General features: G+C 39.6%; 1 long non-coding RNA gene across 1 annotated transcript in view, besides 1 other annotated feature; it reads left to right on the forward strand.

Annotated features, from left to right (window-relative positions):
- The window catches only part of LOC124900670 (uncharacterized), a 70,810-nt gene extending 47,086 nt beyond the window's left edge, over positions 1 to 23,724 (forward strand). Inside the window, exon 2 of the long non-coding RNA XR_007058058.1 lies at positions 22,111 to 23,724. This is a non-coding gene — a long non-coding RNA (uncharacterized LOC124900670). The remainder of the gene's footprint in view (positions 1 to 22,110) is intronic.
- Positions 13,559 to 14,363: an enhancer, noted in NCBI's record as "OCT4-NANOG hESC enhancer chr4:14228109-14228913 (GRCh37/hg19 assembly coordinates)". NCBI's record gives its function as "activates a minimal SCP1, AML or CMV promoter by ChIP-STARR-seq in naive and primed H9 embryonic stem cells {active_cell/tissue: H9 hESC(naive and primed)}" and the evidence as "EXISTENCE:reporter gene assay evidence [ECO:0000049][PMID:30033119]".
- Positions 23,725 to 24,085: the final 361 nt, after the last annotated feature.

The following is a 24,085-nucleotide window of genomic DNA, read 5'->3' on the forward strand; positions in this document are numbered from 1 at the left end:
GTTTTTTAAGCCCATTGGAAAAGCACAGTATTTGGGTGGGAGTTACCCGATTTTCCAGGTGCTGTCTGTCACCCCTTTCTTTGACTAGGAAAGGGAACTCCCTGACCCCTTGTGCTTCCCGAGTGAGGCAATGCCTCACCCTGGTTCGGCTCATGCACGGTGCGCTGCACCCACTGTCCTGCTCCCACTGTCTGGTAGTCACTAGTGAGATCAACCCAGTACCTCAGATTTGAAATGCAGAAATCACCTATCTTCTGCGGCGCTCGCGCTGGGAGCTGCAGACTGGAGCTGTTCCTATTTGGCCATCTTGGCTCCACCTTTATCTATTTCTAATGAGCTTAGAATCTGGGGACTGTGAAGACTGAGAATAAACATATAACATGATAATACAGTACTCACTGTGGTGAGTATTATTTTCGAGGGTACTAAGGGCAAAGCCATGGGGAGGAAAGTGGAACACACTCTAATATGGGAATAAATGAAGGCTTCTCTGAAAAGTGGGCCAGATAAAGTGAGAGTGGGGGTCTACCACAATGAAGTTACATGGCTTAACACTTGAAGGCTTGCTTAAAATTAATCATTCCTGCTTGGAAGAGAGTTGTAAAAAAACAGATCTCATTCAATCTCTTCCCTCTTGGAAGTTCAGAATCAACTGAGACACATTCATAGGGGTCAAACAGGGATCAAAATATTGACTTTATTCTTGATTCAGGTGGATTAGAAAATGTGGCCAGGATCTGAAGTCCATTACTGAGGTACTGAGCACAGTATCCAAAATTAGTTTTTCCACCTCCCCCACAGTAGTTCCCATTGTCTATTCCTGTCATATGTATGTTCATGACATAAAATTTGTGACATACTTATATGTTCTACTTATAAGTTCTACATATAACTCAATGTTTAGCTTCTACTTATGTGTGAGTACATGTGATATTTGGTTTTCTGTTTCTGTGCTAATTTGCTTAGGATAATGGTCTCCAGCTGTATCTGTGTTTTTGCAAATAATATGATTTCATTTTTTTTTATGGTCACATAGTAGTCCATGGTGTATATGTACCATATTTGCTTTATCCAGTCCACCATTGATGGGTGCCTAGTTTGATTCCATGTCCTTGTTATTGTGCATAGTACATGCTAGGGCATGTGGCATTTCGGTAGAACAGTTTGTTTTCTTTGGGGACTATATGAAGTAATGGGATTGCTGGGATGAATGGTAGTTCTGTTTTAAGTTCTTTGAGAAATCTCCAAACTCAAAATGCAGTTACTTTAATTATATCACATATGAATAGTTAAATTTAAATTGTTTAAATAACACTGAATATCTTATTTGGTTGTTTGCAAATTTAATTAAATCTTACTCAATGTTTTTTGGCCATAATTCTCTCTAGTATTCAAGCATGTAATGTCCATCTAGTTAATAATGTAAAGAACTGGAATTATTCTTTGTACCCATTTCATCTACATACAAACATATAGAACTTTAAGAGCAACATGAATTGCTTAATACAAGATGGTGTTTCTTAGTTACCCTGTGAAACTGATGTGAATACCTCACCAACTCATCCTTAGCTCTAGAATCATAAGATGGAATCTAAATACAAGCAAAAAATAGATGCTTTGCACCACTTTTTCATGCACAAATCTTTTGCATTTTTACTGGTTATAAGGCAAGATTTCACAAGTTAATTAATGTGTCTATTTTCTTGCTGAAGGTGCTCTTGCTGCTCCAGTCCCAGTAGCATTCATCTCTGACACCGAGAGTGACACACCTGCAGACCTTCATGGCATTTGGATGCACTGACCTTTCCTTTTGAGGATATAGGGCGAGAGGTGTGGAGAAGCGTATCCCTGTGGCTTGAACTCACATAAGGGAGAAGGTTTAGGGTTAGGGATCATGCTATGTCAGAGCAGAGAGCTGGATGCTAAAAAGCAGAGGTGATCGTATATTCTTTAATAAATATATTTTCTGATTAGTTTGTATATATAAATTAAAGCATGAGACTGAGGGTAGAAGCCCTTGTTGCCTAGATCTAAGGATAGGGCTACACAGTGACAGGTTAGACAGTGACTGCGCTAGGGATGAAATGGAAGATGAGCCCTTGGAGTAAGGAGGTGAGGAAGAAAAGCTGCAGGAAGCCAATCTGCTTTGAGAAGTGACTTCAGTGATATTTGATATAACAAAAAGCCTTAACTTTATGACTTCCGTGGACTGAAGTTTCTGCTTAAAATAATACCACAAAATTTACCCTATCCCAAACACACACACAAACACGCACACACACACACACAAGCACACACACATGCACGCACACATTCTGCAGGATTTACAGCCCTGCCTTGCCTGTGAATGGATTATAGTGCTCTGCATGAAGTACATTCCCTTTATTCCCTCGCAGCCTGACCTAAGTGGAACATAAAATGTCTTAAAAAGGCCCATCCAAAACAGATCACTAACAGAATCCCCCTGGAGACCGTTGGAGTCAGCAGTTTCTCAGGTCACCATATTTTACAGATATTCAGATTTTCATGGTGATTTACTGGGTCATTAAAGTAATTCTTGAATTGCTAAACAATGTATATTATTTGCCTTCTGCCCTGGAAAACTGTCCTGTTAGATGTGCAGGATGCTCCTAGGAAAGACTCTGGGTCCATAAATCTTTCACTGAAGAGAACAGCCAGTGTGTCTTCTGGCCCCAGGAACCCACCCCTATCCATATGGTCAGTAGTCAATCGGGGGGACACTAAGCATCTCAGCCCTAATGATGTCTCTGATTCATTTATCACTGAACAAATATTTATTAACTTCTACAATGTCCCAGCACATTTCTTGCTGCCAAGAACACAGCAGTGAACTGATCAAATGCCTGCCCTCATGGAGCTTACTTTGTTGAGACAGTAGACAATGAATAATTATTTGTATAAATCCATCACACGTCAGATGATAAGGAAAATGAGGAAGGGTCAGGGTGATATGATGTGTGAGGGTGGTGTATGCTATTTATTTTAGGTCAATTAGTCAGTGACAGCCTTCCTGCTGATGTGATATTGAAACAGAGACCTGAATGGAATGAACATACAGGTCATGAACAGACCTGGGCGAGAGCATTCCCGGAGAGACAACTGGAAGAACAAAGACCGTGACATGCAGGCTGGCAAGCATGTCAGAGGGGCAGCGTGAGAGGCCAGGGTGCAGAGACAGTGGGAATCAGGCTCAAAAGGTCATGGGGTCTGGTTCAGCGAGAAGGCTTTGCTTTCACTCTGAGCGAGATGATAATCCACTGGAGGGTTTTGTGCAAAGAGGGAAGTAATGTGATTTATTTATTGAAAGAATTGCTTTGGCCACTTCGTGAAGAGACCAGAGGAGGAAGGGTGGAAGGAGAGAGAGTAGGTGAGAGACTATTGCAACAATCCAGACGAGAGATGATAATAATAGATAGCATTTATTTAGCACTTATAATGTGCTAGGGTCTAGAAATCCTTTAAATTACTTTATGTATGTTAATTTACAAGTACTCACAGCAGCTCTATGAGATAGGCTCTAATATTGTGTCTATTTTACAGATGAGGAAACTAAAGCATAGAGTATTTAAATAATCAATCCAAGGTCACAAAAGTTACTGGTGTGTTGGACCAGGGTGGTGGACTTGGAGGCAGTTGGACGGAGAATGCACTCGGAAGATAGAGCCAACAGGATGTGTTGATGGAAGATTTTTAATATTTCAATAATAATAGCTCCCATTTATCAAGCATTTATAATGTGACTGCTTCAGGGTTAAGATCATTTTTATTTTTTTTTATTTTTTTTTTTGAGACAAAGTTTTGGAGTGCAGTGGTGCAATTTCAGCTCACTGCAACCTCTGCCTCTCGGTTTCAAGGGATTCTCCTGCCTCAGCCTCCTAAGTAGCTGGGATTACAGGTGTGCATCACTATGCCCAGCTACTTTTTTTAATTTTTAGTAGAGATGAGGTTTTGCCATGTTGGCCAGGCTGGTCTCAAATTCCTGACCTCAGGTGATCCGCCTGCCTCTGCCTCCTAAAATGCTGGGATTACAGGCGTGAGCCACCGCACCTGGCCAGAGTTAAAATCTTTACGTAAATAATCTCATACAACTTTCACACCTACCCTGTAAATAAGCTACAGTTATTCTCCACACTTTATAACTGTGGGAATCAATACTCAGAGAATTCAGATGATTTGTTCATGGTCATATCTGGTAAGAGCCTGACTTCTGCCTGACTCTAGCCTGTGAGCTGTGCAGCTGGACTTTCCTGCCTTTCTACTTGCTTCCTTATCAATTCCTATATGTAGTCAGGATCTTTTGCATCAATCTGTAGCTTCTGGCTTGCATGCTTGTCTTTTGAACTCAAGATCACACTTGACTTTAAATGTTACTTCCTCCATGGACCCTTCTCTGGCCTTTTCCTCTTTCAGTAGTTTTATTTTCTGTATCATATCATATCCAATTATCTGTGCTATGGACTGACTTGTGCCCCACCCTCCCCCAACATGCATATGTTAAGCATCTTACATCTCTACCCCGACTGAGATGGTATTTGGAGATGAAGCCTTTGGGAGATAATTAGATTCAGATGAGGACATGAGGGTGGGGCCCTCACAGAGACACCAAGGTGGGAGGGGGTCCCCGGACAAACTCCAACCAGCCTGCCCAATGAGGTGGAGCCTTTGCAAGTTCCTGCCCTTTGCATCAGGGAGGAGCCTGGCCTCACCCTTTCCTGTGTGGAATCTGGTATTCCAATGGCAGGTGGGAAACACTCTAGCAGGGACTCTGACCTTGCGGAGGATCTCTGTTTCCCCCTCTTTTTTTTTTTTTTTCCTTTTCACCCAATAAAAACCTGCTTTACTCACCCCTTAAACTACGAGCCTAAACTTCTGTGGCTGTGGGACAGAGAAGAACCCTATCTTTAGCTAAACTAAGGAAAAGTCCTGCAACATCATGTAAGAGACACTATAGTGTCTCTTACAAGAAGAGACACTAGAGATCTTGTTCTCTTTCTCTCTGCCATGTGAAAACACAGCAAGAAGAAGGCCATCTGCCAGCAGAAGAGAGCTCTCACCAGAACCCAACCATGCTGGTACAAGGATCTGAGACTTCCAGCCTCTAGAACTGTGAAAAAATAAATTTCTGTCATTTAGGTCACCCAGTCTATGATATTTTACTATGGCAGCCTGAGTGTATTAAGATAATATGTATCTTATGATATCACATGTAATTATATATGCTATTATATACCATAATATAATATATTATATTCCATTGCATTGTATCATGTAGTATGTTGTATATTATATTATCTCTATTTTCTGCTAGCCTGTTTGCTCTGTTTGTGTCTGCCTGGTTCATCACTTATCTCCAGAAACTTGCATGTTACCTAGCACATAGTAGGTGTACTATAATATTTGACAAGTGCAAAAATAAATGAATAAATAATTACAGACATCCTGAATAACTACCACTGCCAGTTACAGGATTTCCCAACCTGACTCCAGCCTGCTTGATCAGTGTTTCCAATGAGCCTACCTTTAGGTCTAGTGGAAGATCTGACCCATTAGTTTCTCAGCTCAACCAGTTCTTTCTGCCCAACATTTTCAGAGCTGACTCCAGTTCTGTACTACCTCCCTGAGGGATGTTGGGCAAGTCATCTCTCCTCCTTGTTCTTCAGGTGTCTCATCAAGACAGTGTAACTCTGGGCTCCAACAGCTCTGACAAAAGAGTATTCAGATCATCATTTAAGACAAAATGAAAATTGTGGAGGGAAGGATATATCAGGAAATCTTTCAAGTCAGCAATTCATTCTGAGAATAAAGGAGCAATTCTCTGAGTCCAGAGCTGTGGGTGGTGGGGACAGAGAGGGCCACCTAATTGCCCCCAGCTGCCAGCTTCAAGTCTGGGAAACTTGTCAAACCAGGCGCTGTGTTTTGTAATCTCTTTCAACAGGCTGTACACACAGAGGCATTGTGGATGGATTTGTGGTGCTAAAGTACGCACGCCCTTTCCGGAGGGGCAGTGCCTTTGAATATTTAACAAGGCAGGTAATTGTCCTAAATGAAGGTGGAATTGAGTTTTGTGGTTTGGGTCAGCTGTGGCCTAAATTATGAAACTAAAAAGAGGATGGACAATTTTTATTGATTTGAGTCCAATTTTTTCTTTATTTGTTGCTTTAAATGTACGTACTTTTTCCCAGCAGCTTCCTGTCTGGATAATAGAAAACTCTTTCTGTAAGTGGTTGACAGACTTTCATTCGTACCTGGGCTGCCAGGAGCCATTTGTAACTCCCATTCTGCATGTTTACAGTTCTCTATATATCTGGGATTTATTTCTTTGTTTATTCATTCATTCAACCAGCTTTGATTGAATTCCTACTATGTGTATATGGAAAAAAATACTTGTTTTTTGCAAAAAAAAAAAAAAAAAAAAAGAGTAAAAATGTTTCAGCTCTCAAGAAGTTCCCAGTCTAGCAGAACAGGCATGTAAATCAGGATACATTGGCGATGTAATGGGTGATGTGTTATGATGAGGAAAGTGCAGAGTCCCCTAGGAGAAATAGACACAACTTATCCTGGCTTGGATTGGCCGTCAGATAAGACATTTCAGCAGATGTTCCTCTGACTTGGTCTTCACTCATTTTATCTCAACACTTAATATTCAAGTTGGCAAACCATTAAACATCTGGTGGATTCTGCTTTCCATGCTGAGTTGGTTAGACTAGGTTTTAATGGGTTTCCTGGCATTCCTATAAAACTCTCTTAAAAGTCTAGGCTTTTCTTGCTTGGGAAATAGTGTATCAGAGATGCTAAGAGATTCATCTTTGAAATCAGACAGAATGGATCCAATTCTGGTTTCACTCCTCATTTGCTGTATCCCATAGGAAACATTTAAATGCCATGGCCCTACGTTTCCTATCTATAAAATGATGTGAATAACAGTCACCCCTTCATAGAGTTTCTGGAAAATAGCATTTAATTAATATCATCTGTGACAGTGAAAAAATATTAGTAACTCCATGAAAACTTACTGCATTTATAAGAAGAGGCCATTGGCATATATCAAATATACTGGAAAAATATGGAATTAGGTCAATGGCTCTCAATCGTGGGTGATTTTGCCCCACAAGGGTCATTTAGGAACATCAGAGGACACTTCCAGATTTCAGAATTTGGGAAGAAAGAGGGTGCTGGTGATCTGGTAGGTAGAAGCAAGAAATGCTGATGAACAGCCTACAAAACATAAGATGGTCACCATGACAAAGAATCATCTGGCCCAAAAATGTTAAAAGAGTTAAGCTTAATTAGCTGGGTGTGGTGGCACACTCCAGTAGTCCCAGCTACTTGGGGGACTGAGGTGGGAGAATTGGTTGAGCCTAGGAGGTGGAGGTTGCAGTGAGCTGAGATTGTGCCACTGCACTCCTACCTGGGTGACAGAGTGAGATTCTGTTTCTAAATAAATAAATAAATAAAAGAGTTGAGTTTGAGAACCTCTGGATTAGCTCCAGACATCTGCTTAGGATGATATGAAACATGTCAACAAGAGTTACTTTGATTGCCTCAAGGCATAGTTGATAAATGTTTATGCATTGATCCAGAACTTACTTATTCATTAATAAAAATTGAGCACATCCTACTGACCTTGCCCTGGGCACTCAGGAAACTGATCCTGCAGCATGTGCGAAATGGACTTGTGCACCAGAGATTAGGAGGGAGATTGAACATGATGTCTTTCAATTATTTCAAGGAAAAAAATTATGCAGACCTAGTTGGGGGTCAAAGAGGATTCCAAAGCTTTCAGGTTTCTCAGTGTGTATGACAAAAGGATAGGTTAGGATCAGAGATTCTTATGGTCATTGTGATGTGGGAGAACTGTCTGTGACTTACTCCACCTCTAGCTTTAACTGGCTCAGTGGCTCCTATATCCAGCCTTCCCCCAATAAATGCATAATAAAATAAACGTATTCTCCAATTCTCCCAGTACATTTGGGGCTTTGCTCATGCTGCACCCTCCCTCTGCAGCCCCTTATACCACTCTGGACTACCAAACTAGAGTGAAGCATTTTTTAGCATATGGCTTCTGTAACATCTTCTCTGACTCCTGAGCAGAGAGAATTCATGACTTATTCTTCCCTCCAGTATGTCCCGTGTATTAGTCTGTTATCATGCTGCTTATAAAGTCATACCCAAGACTGGATAATTTATAAGGGAAAGAGGTTTAACTCATAGTCCCATGTGACTGTGGAGGCCTCACAATCACGGCAGAGAGCAAAGTCACGTCTTACAAGGTGGCAAGTAAGAGAGCTTGTGTAGGGCAATTCCCATTTATAAAACCATCAGATTTCATGAGACTTAATCACTATCATGAGAACTGCATGAAAAAGACCCACCCCTGTGATTCAATTACCTCCCACAGTCCCTCCCATGACTCATGGGAATTATGGGAGCAACAATTCAAGATGAGATTTGGGTGGGGACAGAGCCAAACCATATCAACCTGCGTGGGCAACCAGCATAGTTCTGTAGTTATTAATGGGTCATTAGACCTGCCTGCCTGTTCTTCACTGTGCTGTGAGCCACTGAAGAACAGGCCCTTGTTCTTTGTCATCTTTGTTTCTCAGGTGCCTCACATAGTCCCTGGCATGAACTGGGTGCTCTGTCAATACTGGTTCAATGAATCAGTTATTGGATCCGTTTCTGCTTCAAAAACCTTGGCCAGCTTGAAAGAACTATGCTGGTCTGGAAGAAGAGATGAAAAAAGAATTAACTAAAATGGATGTGGCTTTATATTTATGTGTCCACTCATCCCATGGAGATTATTTTCCTCATTACATGGATAATTTCCCTGGCTGCTGTGGTGGTAGTTAGGGTCGCATAGGCTTGACAAAAAGGTTGAGATACAATCACATAACTACATTCATTCATTCTTCTGTTCGTTCATTGGATATTTATTGACTTCTGTTTTGTGCAGAAACTGTGCTGGTGGTCAGGATATTATATTCTATGAAACAGATACTGCACTTGCCCTCAGAGAGCACAGAGTTTTCTGGGGAAGACGGATGTAAGTGCATGAGTGATTTGATTTTGTGAGAAGTGCAATTAAAGCAAGGGGACTGAAAGCAGTGATATGGCGGCTTTGTGAAAGATCAGCTTGGCTAAGCTTTACTCCCCAGAATTCTCTTTCTGTTGCGTTTGTTTCCAGGTTTCCAGTTAGGTTTTGCTGCAAAGATTTTTTTTTTTTTTTTTTCAGATTAGAGAGCAGGAAGGGAGGCTTCAGCCATGCTGTAACAACACACACCTTTTCCCAGTTAATCAAATGCTAGCGTCAGTGCTTCATTAAAGGAATTTTATCAATGTGATATAAAGTTCCAAATTAATTGAACTTTTTAGTTGATCAAGAGATAGTTATTCTAGATGAGTGTGGTTTCACAAAGAGACTTTAAAAAGCATCTTCATAATCAGATATTCCAAGCATTATCTGTGCCTGTAATTGCTTTCCTTTCCCCTTGGATCTTCCCTTCCTAACTGCCTGTCCTGTCAAGCTGGCTTAGTCCGCCCCCACAATTGTGTATAGCAACTCCCTATAATAAATCCATGCACACACACATGAATATATACATACCCATGATATGCGTGACACATATACAGGTGCATGTTTGTATATGCATATGCATGTATATAAATATGTATGTGTATGCATGCTACATGTGTCAAATTCAGCTGCTCTGGTTGAAGCTTGCCTAATACCTATGAACATGTAATGCAGCTCAATGGTTCAGAGAAGGCCTCTTAGAGGAAGTAAGTTGAGATATGGAGGATGAATAGGAATAAAAATGAGCTAGCAGGGACCTGTGTGATGCCTGTCGCCAGAGTGGGTGTGGCTGTAGATAGAATGGGAAGAGGTGACGCTGGGGAGTTGGCAGGGGCCAAACCCTGAGAATCCATGTAGATATGGTGAAAGATATGGTGGTTTCTATTTTTGTATTTGTTTGTTTTGATAAGGCTGTAAAGGAATTCAGGAAGACTGAAAATAGTTCCAGCAACAATCCAATAGTTGTCCAGAGAACTGGGTATCACTATTCACAATACAGCTGAGGTTCTAATAGTTTAATATACATGTAATTTAATTTCTTCATTTCTGCCACTGGTTGCCTGCTATCTCTTCCTGTTATGCTACTCATTAGCTTCTTCGAAGCTCAAGACTTCTGTTTACTGCCTTTCTTTGGATGTTCTCTACAACTTCTTGTTTGCATCATAGAGACTGACAGGTGATATAATTTCTGGACATGGGTTTATGACAATCTCTACTGGGTTTTAAGACTATTTTGGATAACAGCCTTCTTTTTTTAATTATCTCTCTTGCATCTCACCATTATCATGCAAGCAATCTTGCTGAAAGCACTAGAGACAAAGTTAACCTGAAGAACATTGTGGAAGAAGTTTGCCCATGGGCATGGCCAGGTCTCTCCTTGCTCAATATGGGTTCATTGCCAAAAATCAGACTCAGCCTTGCTAAATTGCAGATGCTTGGTCAAAATTTGCCTCTTTCCAGACTTTTAGATTATATCCGACATGTAAACAAGAACATATTCTTGGTACTGATATATCAACTGTTATTCTATGTTCATTTTTGTGGGACTACCACTTAGCAGTAATAAAACCTTTAAAAAGAAACTATGGCTGTATGGGCTATTTATAAGCCTTGATTAATTCTGGACTTAATAGTAACAGATTAACTCAGAGAGTTACTCACTTCAGATAACTGTTGATAATGAAACCTTGGGATGAATGAAGGCCCAATATGCTTTTCTTGAAAAAGTATGTACACTAGAAAGAAAATGTTACTATATTTGCTATGTGATCAGCTTAATCATCAATATGTAATCAATATATAATCATTAGAGTTAACAAATAGAAACTTCTGATTCTTTCTTAGAAATGCTAAAACCACTTTACCTAGGTTTTTCTCAGTGTTGCCATGTTTTGCAGCTCTCTTCTTGGGAGAAGCGGTGCAGGGGACTGAATGTTTGTGTCCTCCCCAAATTCATATGTTGAAACCCTAGTTCCAATGTAAGAGCATCTGGAGATGGGATCACTGGTACACTGGTAGGTAATGAGATTGTGAAGCAGAGCCCTCATGAAGGGGATTAGTGTCCTTATAAGAAGAGGCCAGAGAGCCAGCAGGACCTTTCGGCCTTGTGAGCACACAGCAAGAAGTCTGCAAAACAGAGGAATTATTACCCCTGCAAATATCGTAAGGGGTTGCTTCAGCCACATCCTTGAGGACCCAGCAGAGCTCCAGTGTGAATGAATAAAACATTTTTCTCTCAACAGGGTTATGAAAGTGTTTTTACCACATATATCCTGTATACTGCAAAGGCAGTCTCAAATAACAATATCGTCTTGCTTAATATTAATAGAAGAACATTTCTCTAAGTAAAGTGTGAAGTAGAAGGCTATGACACAAGATTCAGAATTTTGCTCCTTTTAAGTCTCTGTAGCTTTTTGCTCAAAGGTACTAGCTTTGAGACTGATCAACTTTTGTGTTTATGCTCTGTTAAAGAATTTATACTCTTCCCGAGGCATGTTTGTCTCTACCAAACTAACATTTATATCATTATTTTAGCTCCACTTTCTCCATGGTAACAAAGTGATATTTAGATCATGCTCTCTACTTTCCACTTGTGTAATAAGAGGTTGGACTAAAGGGTGGTGAGGATTCTTCTAGCTCTAACATTCATAACAATCCTGAGCACACTAGGGTTGCCCTGCTTTATGAGGCAAACCTTGGAAACTTAAATTCTCTTTCTTTAGTAACAAAACAATACATAAAAAAGAAATGAAAAACAACAAAAAAGCTGGCTGTTATCACCGACTCCCAATAGAAAGCCATATATATGTAGATATAGGTAATATGTAGATATACGCATATATGTAATTATGTAGATATATATACATAATAAATATATATATATACACACACATAATTATCAACAGCTAAAATTTTATTGTGTGCTTCATACATACCAGACACTGAAATAAACTCCTTATATTTACACATTCATTTAGCTCCCAAAGCAGCCAGCCCTGGAGAATATAATTTCCAATTGACAGTTGAGTCAATGGAGGCTCACAGCTATAACTTGTTTGAGGTCATACGACTAGAAGGTGTAAGGATTTAGACTGAAACCTAGACTCAGACATAAAAGCCTTTGCGCCATACCAATATTATCTACAGCCTCTTTGCCTTTGATTTCCCCTAAAACAGAGTGTCCTGTGGCTATGTAATACCTGCATAAAACTGAGACCATTTGGCACTTTCTTACAGAAATGAAAAGTCTGTGGCAGGGCGCGGTGGCTCACACTTGTAGCCCCAGTACTTTGGGAGGCCAAGGCGGGTGGATCACGAGGTCAGGAAATCGAGACCATCCTGGATAACAGGGTGAAACCCCATCTCTACTAAAAATGCCAAAAAAAAAAAAATTAGCTGGATTTGGTGGCGAGTGCCTGTAGTCCAGCTACTCGGGAGGCTGAGGCAGGAGAATGGCATTGGAGCTTGCAGTGAGCCAAGATCGCACCACTGCACTCCAGCCTGGGCGACAGAGCGAGACTATCTAAAAAAAAAAAAAAATAAAAAAAAAAGAAAAGAAAAAAATGAAACGTTTGTAACAGTATGGAATGCTGTGTCTGGAGGCACCTGAAAGTCCTTTTATTTGCCATCTTGTCTCAACTCATTTCTGTGTCTGTAGCACTTGCCAGCACTTGTAAACAGTAATACTGAGCAACTGTAGAAAGGCAATGGCTTGAGCTTCTTAGCACAGAAATTCCTCCTAACATCTTTTTATAGTTTGTTTAAAAGTCTCTGTGTCCTCTGTGGAAATGGTGGATAAAGAGGTAATGTATACACTCCGATCTGTGTAACTCCATTATGAGTGTATCCCAGGGCCATTAAGAGCCCTTCAATTGTTTATTTTGCCTCGCTTTGTCAATATTTGATGCTCATAGCAGGTGAGAGTAGGGAGAAAACCAATCTCATTTGCAAGATTGCTGGAACCCACCTTTGTAATGACTAACCACAGAAACAAACCAAATGTCAGTGAAGCAGTGAAACTTGTGTGTCTGGATATAACTGCTGACTTCGTGGCCAAGGGACTGTGGAAATAAAAAAAACACTAGTTATGTTCTAGACCATTAAATAGTCCCTATTTAAAATCTTTGAAGATGCAAATAAAATAAAATAAAATAAAACAGATGAAGAACCACTGACACAGGCTCTGAAGGCCCTGGTTCTTTTAGGGCTCTTAGAATAACATGGAGATTTTTCTGTTGCCACTGAGGTGTTGGTTCTGCCTCATATGTAAGCCAAATCATGGTTTTCAAGACTTTACCCCACTTACTTTCACACAGATTTGTTATCAACAGCCCCTAGAAACAATAAGCAAATATGACCGTAATATTGTAACATGGAAAACAAAATTACCCTTCAACTTGAAGAGGTGAAGTAACTTCCTAAGCACTTCGTCTGTAGGAACTTGGGAAAATTATTTGACCTGTGTAAGTCTTGAATTTCTCTTGTGTAAAATGGGAATATAAATACCTGTTTTGAAGGCTTAGTATAAAGATCAAGGGAAATCATGCAGGTAAGTAAAATTTATGTTTTAGGTGCTGTATTTAAAAGGGGTGGTGGCAGCTCAGAGCTTGACTCTTTGCATGAACCATGTCCCTTATTTTCTGTATCTTATGGTTTGACGTCTAGGCCTTGCTTACTCTGAAAGGCCTGCCCCTCCCAGGGTTAGCTAACTCCTAGAGACAGTAAACTACTACCTGCTGAGCCCTCTGTTCAGATGCAAAGCAACCGATCTAGAGTACACTTCCCAGCCAACTCCTTTACTGGGCTCTCACATTCTGGGCCACTATGGAGCCACCTGACCTAATCACTCCAGGGCCAAATATCAGATCACAGGGACAGTCCCTATGTCCCAGAGCCCTAAAATTATTTATTCAAATTAGCCAATTCTAAACCAAATTGCTTTGCTTGTTTCTTGATTCCAGTGGAATCCACAATAAAGGCTCTTACCCAGTTTCCCCCCTCCCTCTGCCTTCTAACCAACCCCGGTGCTTCCTGTGTGCCCCACCCCCCATAGTGTAGGTAGTATATCCCCGCTTCTTGGGATCTATGAGTACAAGAAACTATCTTTTTAATAGCGTCCTCTCAGCCGGGCACTGTGGCTCACGCCTGTAATCCCAGCACTTTGGGAGGCCGAGGCTGGCGGATCACCTGAGGTCAGAAGTTCAAGACCAGCCTGACCAACATGGAGAAACCCCGTCACTACCAAAATACAAAAAAATTAGCCAGGCGTGGTGGTGCATCCCTGTAATCCCAGCTACTAGGGAGGCTGAAGCAGGAGAATCGCTTGAACCTGGGAGGCAGAGGTTGCAGTGAGCTGAGATCGTGCCATTGCACTCCAGCCCGGGCAACAAGAGTGGAAACTCCGTCTCAAAAAAAAAAAAAATTAATAAATAATAAAACAAAATAATAGCATCCTCTCTTGATTCCCTGGCCTTATCATACCTATTAAAAATAGAATGAAACCTATATTAAAACATTGTTCAGATCATTTGCATCTTAACCCCACCATCACAGAACCGTAAAAAGAGTGTAGCATGCTGGGCAGAGGCAAGGACCCACTCAGGTCCAGAAAATCATAGATTTTTCTCTCCTGACTTGCTATAATGGAATCATGATAACTAATGAAATCTCTCTTCACCTTTCTCTTTATTCATGCTATCATTCCCAATGAGTTTCTGCTAGACAAACCAACACATCTCAGTATAAAATGATTTTTTGGTCATTTCATTCTGTCCCTCTATGTGCACCAATGCAAACCTTAAAGGAATATGTTATAGAGGCAGACTCCTCACTTACTATGAGGTACTGCTAGCCAAAGTGATCCCTATAGATGCCTTTCCTGAAAGGAGCTCACTCCACCCAAGACTGCAAGCCTAACTCTGCAGTCCAGAGGAACATGGCAATGAGATGCTGGCAGGACTTGTGTAGCAAGGATTTAGCTTTGTTGAACTTCTGTGTTAGTTGTTTTCCTCTCTTTTCCCTGGAATATAGTATTTTAGAAAAAAAAAAAAAAAGCAAACATTCATTCATTTTAATGTAATGCTTCTGTGCCAGGCACTGCATCCAGTATTGAAGATACAAATGCAAGTGAATGATAACTATTGCTCTTCAGACTGGTTGCCCTAATTGTCTGTCAAATGAATAGCCATGTACACAAACATTTCCCTATTCAATTCCCAAATACCAATACCTGGATTTGGCACTACACAGGATGAGAGTTGGACAATGCAGAAGTCAGCCACTGCTTGTTAAGGGGAAGAGGCATACACAACATATGATAAGAGGTCGGAAATAAGTGCTACGAGAAAAATAAAAGCTAAGTATAATGGATATTTGAAAGAAGATGGTATATTTTGTTGAGAGGCAGAGGATATTAAGAGCAAAATGGCTCACAGCCCTCAGAAGGAACAAACCCTGCAGCCACCTTGATTGCAAACTTCTGACATCCAGAACTGTGGAATAATAAATTACTTTTGTTTAAATCCCCCAGTTTGTGGGACTTTGTTATGGCAGGTCTAGCAAAGTACTACACTTGGAGACTGGAAGGTATAGATTGGGAGGAGGCAGGTGGAACCTGGAGCATGGACAGAGGAGAATGTGGACTAATGCTGAAGAGCCAGGTTGGGGCCATGTTGGGAATCCCAGAGAGGGGAAATTTGGATTTAATCTGATGAGCAGATGGTGTTTATAGAGAATATTTGAGCAGGAAAGAAGCATGGTAGAAAATGGTTCCAGTTGTAGAAACCACTAGCAGAACTTGAAACTACTGCTCAAGGTTCTTGGTGCAAGTGTAAGAGGATTATTGAGGAGTCTATACTTAGCTATGTGCAAACATGAAGTGGTATTATATGTTTCCAGTCATGGATTTAATTGTACTATATGAAACGTGCATTCCTTTTTCTTGATGACATTTTTGGTATTTTATAAAATTTATGGTTATTTGTCAGTGATAACATTAAAACTCAGCCCATTCTAAGTTAAAACTGTAATGTCATATCCAATTAAAGCTTTCTTCTTCATCACAGGCTACTGGCTGTTAGAATAAGGACTGAGCCAAGGGTTAGAAGATGGCTGCAATTTGTTTTTCAGTTCTGCTTTTTTTTTTTTATCTTTATATTGGAAGGAGATAGGACATCTAAGGAATGACTTGATGTCATAGTCTATTTTAGGCTGCTATAATGGAATACCACAGACTAGGTAATTTGCAATGAACATACATTTATTTGGTTTATGGTTCTGAACACTGGGAAATCAAAGATTAAAGAGTCACAGCTGGTGAGGGGAATCTTGCTGCAACATCCCATAGTGGAGGTGAGAGGTTATGAGAGGGCAAGAGAAAGTGATGAAGAGAGGACTGAACTCTTTTATAACAAATCCACTTTTGCCATAATGATTCTCCTCTTGTGACAGTGACATTAATCCATTCATCACCTCTTGAACGTCCCACCTCTCAACACTGTTTCATTGGGGATTTAGTTTTCAACACATGAACTTTGGGGGACACATTCAAACCATAGCACTTGGGATTGTCTTGTAACTGGCTCTATGTCAGTGGTAGGAAGGTACCTGGTGATTGACTTATTCTGTCTTTAGCTCATAGGGTTACATCTGGAGCTGAAGAATTTTGCCAATGTTCAGGTCAATGTGTAGATGTTGGATATATTTAGAGCAGTGTTTACTCTTACCCAGTCCTCTCTGCCTAACCCTAACCCCAACTCTGATAGTAACCCTCCATCACTGAGCACCTCATTATCTTTTATAGAAAAAGTGGTGCTTTAGGTTCCTAGAAGTGTAATTACCAAGTACTGCTGAAATGGTTGACCTAAACAATAGAAATTCATTTTCTCACATTTCTGAAGTTAGAAGTCCAAGATTAAGGTATTGGCAGGTTTGCTTCCTTCTGAAACCCATCTACTCAGCTTGTAGATGGCTGCCTTCTTGCTGTGTTTTTCCTGTGCATGTATGCTCCTGGTGTATCCAAATGTTCTCTTGTTATAAGCACACCAGTCAGACTGATTAAGGGCCCACACACATTGTACCAGCCTATTTACACTTAATCACTTTATTAAAGACCCTATTTCCAAATACACTCACATTCTGAGGTACTGATGGTTAGAGCTTTAACATATGAATTTGGAGGGGTCACAATTCAGCCCCAAACAGGAAGACTGTAGATTAGGTTTCTGTTTGATGGTGGTACAGCTTATTCCCCCATCTCCTTCTAAAGTCTGGAAATGCTGTCATCTCACCCAGTTGCTGGTAGACCTTTTTGGAATTTGGAATTATTAGTGCTTCTTGTTTTCCTCTATGGGTTCCACTAACTAATTCTGGAGCATCTGGAACATCCTCACTTGAAGTTCTTTGAAGAAATACTCTGAAAATTCTGAATAGCATGGCATTCAGGAAGAGAAAGTAGGTAGCCAGAGTCACAGCCATTGGTCTTGTGGACACTACTGCTATGTCTTTGTATGGCAGAGGCAGCAACCACCAAATTCCTGCTATAGTTGCCTATTGGGCTCCATGTTCCTTGCAGGTAGGTGGAGCCATGTGGCTGAGTTCTAGTCAATGGAATTTGGGCAGAGGTGATGTAAGGCACTTCTAGACGTGGCCCCTAAACAATCTGCATGATCCTCTACCACTGTCTCCAATTCTGCTCATCTACTGGCCAGATGCAGAAGATTAAGTGGAAGACTCTGAGGTGCCGCAGTGCTAGCGTGTTCCCCCAAATTCATATGTTGAAGTCTTAACCCCCCAAATAATGCAGAATCTTACTGCATTTAGAGATAGGGACTTTAAAGACATAATTAAATGAAAATGAGGCCTTTGGAGTGGGCCCTAATCCAATCGGAATAATGTCATTTTAAGGAAAAGAAATTAGGACGCAGACATATACGGAAACACAGGAAAAAGATACCTATCTACAAGCCAAAGAGAAAGGCATCAGGAGAAACCAACCCTCCCAACACCTTGATCTTGGGTTTTTATCCTCCAGAACAGTAAGGAAATAAATTTTTGTTGTTTAAGCCACACAGTCTATGGGACTCTGTTATGAAAGCTTTAGCAAACTTACACATGGGCAATGGCTGGATCACTAGATGAAATGAACTTCAGTCCCTGAATGACTTTGTGGAGCAAAGCCCCCACTTCTGGCTCACTCAGGGGTGTCCAATCTTTTGGTTTCCCAGGGCCACATTGGAAGAAGAATTGTCTTGGGCCACAAATAAAATACACTGACACTAACAATAGCTGATGAGCTTCAAAAATCACAGAAAAATCTCCCTTTTTTTTTTTTTTTTTTTTTTTTTTTTGAGACTGAGTCTTGCTCTGTCATCCAGGTTGGAGTGCAGCGGCACAATCTCTGCTCATTGCAACCTCCGCCTCTCAGGTTCAAGTGATTCTCCTGCCTCAGCCTCCCGAGTAGCTGGGACTCCAGGCATGCACCCCCACACCCAGCTAATTTTTGTGTTTTCAGTAGAGACAGGGATTCACCATGTTGGCCAGGCTGGTCTCAAACTCCTGACCTCAGGTGATCCACCCACCTTGGCCTCCCAAAGTGTTGGGATTACAGGCATGAGCCACCGTGCCCAGCCTCAAAATGTTTCAAGAAAGTTTACGAATTTGTGTTGGGCTGCATTCAAAGCCATCCTGTGCTGCATGTGGCTGGCAGGCGGCAGATTGGACAAGCTTGTTTAGATGGTGGTGTTAGATCTGTTATAGTGACTGTATTAGTCCATTCTCATGCTGCTATAAAGAACTGCTCAAGACTGGGTAATTTGTAAAGGAGAGTCTTAACTGACTCACAGTTCCACATGGCTTGGGAAACCTCAGGATACTTGCAATTGTGGTGGAATGCACCTCTTCACAGGGTGGCAGGAGAGAGAATGAGTGCCAAGCAAAGTGGGAAGCCTCTTATTAATCCATCAGATCTTGTGAGAACTAACTCACTATCACCAGAATAGCATGGGGGAAACTGTGCCTCCATGGTTCAATTATCTCCATCTGGTCCCACCCTTGACATGTGGAGATTATTACAATTCAAGGTGAGACTTGGTTGGGAACATAGAGCCAAACCATTTAAGTAACGAAGTCAATACTGACTAATACAGCTTGGTAATTCTGCTTAAAACACTGAAGTTATTAGACAGTGGGTACTCTTCCTACCACTAGGGCCAATGTACCTTGTAGACACTACATTTCTGCTCCTCTGGCCACTGTCTCTGGTGCTAAAATGAATTCTCCACCGTCCCTGAATCTTTGCAAAACGAAGTACAGATTCAAAGACTGGTGTGTGATTTGATGACACACCTTCCATGTTCTTGTTGCCAAGGGGACTGTGAAAATAAAAATTTGGACTTCTCTGTTTTCTTTTGAGAAATGATCTGTTTTTAGATTATTCCATGGAGTAAGGGTTTCTCCATAGAAGGAAAAAAAAAATAACAATTGTCCTTTATAGATATGTTGCTCTACTATTAATTAGCTATGAAAACTTGGACAAATAATTTAACTTCATTAAGCCTGATCAGCACTTTCAAAATGACTAAAATGATAGCTATCTGTGAGATATTTATCATGAGAGTCTATGGAGACAACACTTGTAAAATGTTTAGCACATGTGCCTGGCACATAGAAAGCAACCAGTAAACGTTAGCAATCTTTACTAGAGTTGCTAAGGGACAATAACTCTAGGAACACATGTAGTTAGAGACATCTCATTTTTATTGAGAAACTGTATATTTGGATTTATAAAATTTAATGACCAAAGTGCTAAATGTTACAGAAATCTCTGTGCACTACAGTGGCAAATAACCTTGTTTAAAATGTTTGGTAAAGTGGTAAGAGCAACTATCTCCAGTATTGTAGTGCATTCATTTGCATTAGTATCTTCAAATACATAGAGATCACTTTGGCTAACAGTAGTTAATTCCAGGTGATAGCTTCTAGGTCAACTCCTCCTATTCCATGTTTATTCTAAGTCTCCAATACTTTAAAACTTTGATTTCCAGATGCTAGTTAAATAGTCCTAATAACATTAGCTTGTACATATTAATCTTTTACTATATGCTTGGCTATGGGTCAATCTCTTTACCTAATATCTTTTCTAATATTTTTACAATCACTTTATGGACAAGCTGTGATTATCATCCCCATAGTCCTGAATTAGATAACTGAAAAATTTGCCATAGCACAGAGATAGTAAGTAGTGGATAGAGAACTCAGCAAGTGCTAAAATGCTTTGCTGTGATCGTTTCCAAGCCAAGTTTCCACTAAGCTGTTTGTGCCAGGAACTGAAAGATCTCTGCAGTTGCTGAGAAGCAGGAGGTGGAGGCACCAAAGAAAGAAAAAGAAAATAAAGAATCAGACCCATATTTGAGTCTCACATCTGTTGCTAACCAGCTGGGTGCCCCAGTGATATCATCTCTTCCACCCTGTGTCCTGAGCTGAAAATGGAGAAAAGAAAATCTGTTTATAGAGATGATGAGAAAATTAAATGAGTTGGTATATGTTAAAGTCCTCTGTAAACCTAAAAACATGACCCAGATGTTAATGTATTATTCTTACCTAAGGAACAAAATGAATAAAGGGGAGAAGAAAAAAGCACTGAAAGTTTACTTAAGATTAAAAATGGCATTAAAGATGGAAAGTCAACTATTACAGTGGGAGGACCCTAGGTAACATGGTTTGGCTCTGTGTCTCCACCCAAATCTCACCTTACATTGTAATAATCCCCATGTGTAAAGGGAGGGATCCAATGGGAGGTAATTGAATCGTGGGGGTGGGTTTTTCCTGTGCTGTTTTCGTGATAGTGAATAAGTGTCAGGAGATCTGATGGTTTTATAAAAGGAGGTTCCCCTACACATGTTCTCTTGCGTGTAGCCTTGTAAGACGTGACTTTGCTCTTCCTTCACCTTCCACAATGATTGTGAGGCCTCCCCAGCCATGTGAAACTGTGAGTCCATTAAACCTCTTTCCTTTATAAATTACCCAGTCTTAGATATGTCTTTATTAGCAGCATGAAAATCGACTAATAGACTAGGAAAGCAAGCAGACATGAATTTGAATCTTGCCTTTTCCTGTCTTAGGCAAATCATGTAATTGTTTTGTACTTCTGATTTATTTAAGTAAAATAGAAGTAACATTATTCATGTATAGGGCATCTGTGAGTCCTCCCTTTCTTCCATGTTTCTTGCTCTCATTCTTTCTATTTATTCATTTAGTTATTCCAAGTCATATCTCACCTATTCTTTTTTTGAATAATCAGATGGGAATTCTGGGTAGAAATTTAAAAATGAAGGTTCAATAAATATCCCAGGACAGAATAGCTGTCTGCTGGCTTAGACTTGTCATCATCAGTTGCTTAACTGAAGCAACTGCACATAGTTATGCAAAACACACATGCATATTCACTTACAGAGAAAACCTTCCTGTAATGGTGCCTACCTAAAGCAGCACAAATCTGAAAGATTTATTGATGATAACAGAACTGGGGAATATTTTCAGTGAGTATGACAAATATTTAATAGCCTTAGTAACAAGTTCTGACAAATTGGTTAGCAAACCACAAGAGCTCTTGAAAAAAAATGTGTATTGCAAAATACTAACAGCAGTGAATTCCAGGTAGTAGGGATATGGAAAATTATTATTTATATCTTTTATAATAATAAGTATATTATATAAATTATATATGTTATGCCAAAATACATATGTATATATTTCCACTTCCCAAAAGAAAGTAGACAAAAGAGTAAATGAACAGCAGTCATGAACAGATTGTTTACTATTGAAAAATACAATGACTAATACATATTTTAAAACCAATAAAAATTATTTCAAGAATTTTAACCATATTGGTGAATCAAATATGTACAAATGAAAACAGCAATAGGGTACTTTGTTCTGCCTATGTGGCTGGGAATATTTTTTGAAAATTTTGAAGATTGTTTTTTTTCTCCCTGGAATTGTGTCTCTGATACCACCAGGAGATGAATCTATTGCTTCCAGAGCATGAATACTAGAACAGAGGACAGTTGGTAAAACTGAGATACCATGCCAGGTAATAGTCGGAGTTTCAGCTGGAAAATAGAAGATATGTTTCCATTGGGTCAAGCAAGAAGAGCTTGAGACATCTCATCGATTACCTACAAAAACTGCCCAGATAAGTGAGGAGACCCATGAGATTTGGTATAAATTGCTCACTGTATGTGGGGTAACAGAAAGAAGAATAACCCAACATAGAAAGCCTCAAAGCAGGAAGATACTACACAGACTTCCAAAGAAGCAGTGAGAGGACACCATCTGATGCTGGCTGCACCAAGAAGCCTGAATGGCTGTCAGTGTCAGGTGGGGAAGCAGATGACAGAAGAGAGGAGAACATGAAATTGTACTATAACTGCGTTTGTTGTCCAAATAAGCACAAGCTGTTCCATATACTTTTACATGTTTCATTTACTTCTGCAGAGAGGAAAGAAGAAAGATGAGAGGGAAAGCTAAGAAAAGGTGAGAAGAAAGGGTCAGGAGGAGAAATGCAAAGAGACTGGGATAATTTTTTGGACCATACCTTCTCTGCTGGCAGCTTACTGTGACTGCACCATCCAAAATTTGGTATAAGGATTTGGAAATTTGACCAATATTTCTTAGAAGGTAATGAAATACCTAATTGTTTTCCTTCCTTTTCAGCCCCATCACCATTTGTTCATTCAAAATTCAAAAGGTAAAGATGATGCCATTTTATGCTTGTATATAGTTTAATTGAGATTGCCTGATATCTCACAACATATTAGTAATCTAATGACTAGTAATTCCTCTCTGGAGATCACCCCTAAAAGTATACCCTAGAATGTGAACCAAAATTTATGTTCTAAATTTCCTGTCAAGTAATACTATGTAAAGAACAAAAACAGGAGGGATATCTTAAATTCCAATGATAGAAGACTGATTGACTGTATATTAATACTTTGAAGTAGTAGAAATATTATAGTTCAATTGAAAATGATATCTGTAAGTATTGCTAATGATGCCAGCATAGATTTACTATGAAATGTTTTGTGAAAATAATTAAGATACAATTGTATTATGGGTAGCAAACACAGGAAAAACTAGAAAGAATACTAACAAGTAAACTGTGATTAAATTTCTACGGTATGTGTTGTCATCTTTTTAATTCTATTTTTCCATATTTTTCAAATTTTCTGTATGTATGCATAGTAATTTTCTATTTTGAAGAAATAGGTGTTATCATTTTTTGAAGAATAAAGGAGGCAGAGCTTTTAATTTTATAATCCATTTCTTCCTTTTAGCCTTGCTACAAGGCTGAAAAAATGTACAAGAAAAATTTTCCTGTTGTTTCTGCCTTATTTTTATTAGAGCAAGAAAAAAATGAAAACCCAAAAGTAAAATGATAACATGAAGAAAATGATACGTTTCTTAGGTATTTAGCTGAAATAGAGGTATAGAGAAAAATAATTGATGATTTTGGGAGGGTATTTTTCCTATGTCAAAAGGTAGAACTTGATGATGTCATAGTAACTCTTGTTTTGGAAGTGCATAAATATTCAAAATAAAAATTTTAAATGATCTTGTTTTCCAGAAGAAAATGATCCTCAAACTTTGTTTTTGTTATAGCTGCACTGCAATTTCTTTTGGTCTGAAACTATAGCAATAGAATTCTTGAAGATCACTTTGGCAAGAACGGAGTATATGGAGAATTAGGGACAATTTAAACTCACTTTCTTCTATTATCTCATATTATAGATGAATTATTGTCCTGAGATTTCATATTTTCAAAGCAAGAATACAGTTGGACATGGAAACATCTTATGATTATTCTTCTATAAGCAGAAAGAAGCATTTAATACAATCTAACACCCTTTTAGTCAAAACACATAATAAAATAGCAAGTAATTAAGATTTTATTAAAAACTTATAGATATATGTACATACTGTATATGTGTGTAT

Source organism: Homo sapiens, chromosome 4 (genome assembly GCF_000001405.40).
Source record: "Homo sapiens chromosome 4, GRCh38.p14 Primary Assembly".
NCBI classification, from domain to species: domain Eukaryota; kingdom Metazoa; phylum Chordata; class Mammalia; order Primates; family Hominidae; genus Homo; species Homo sapiens.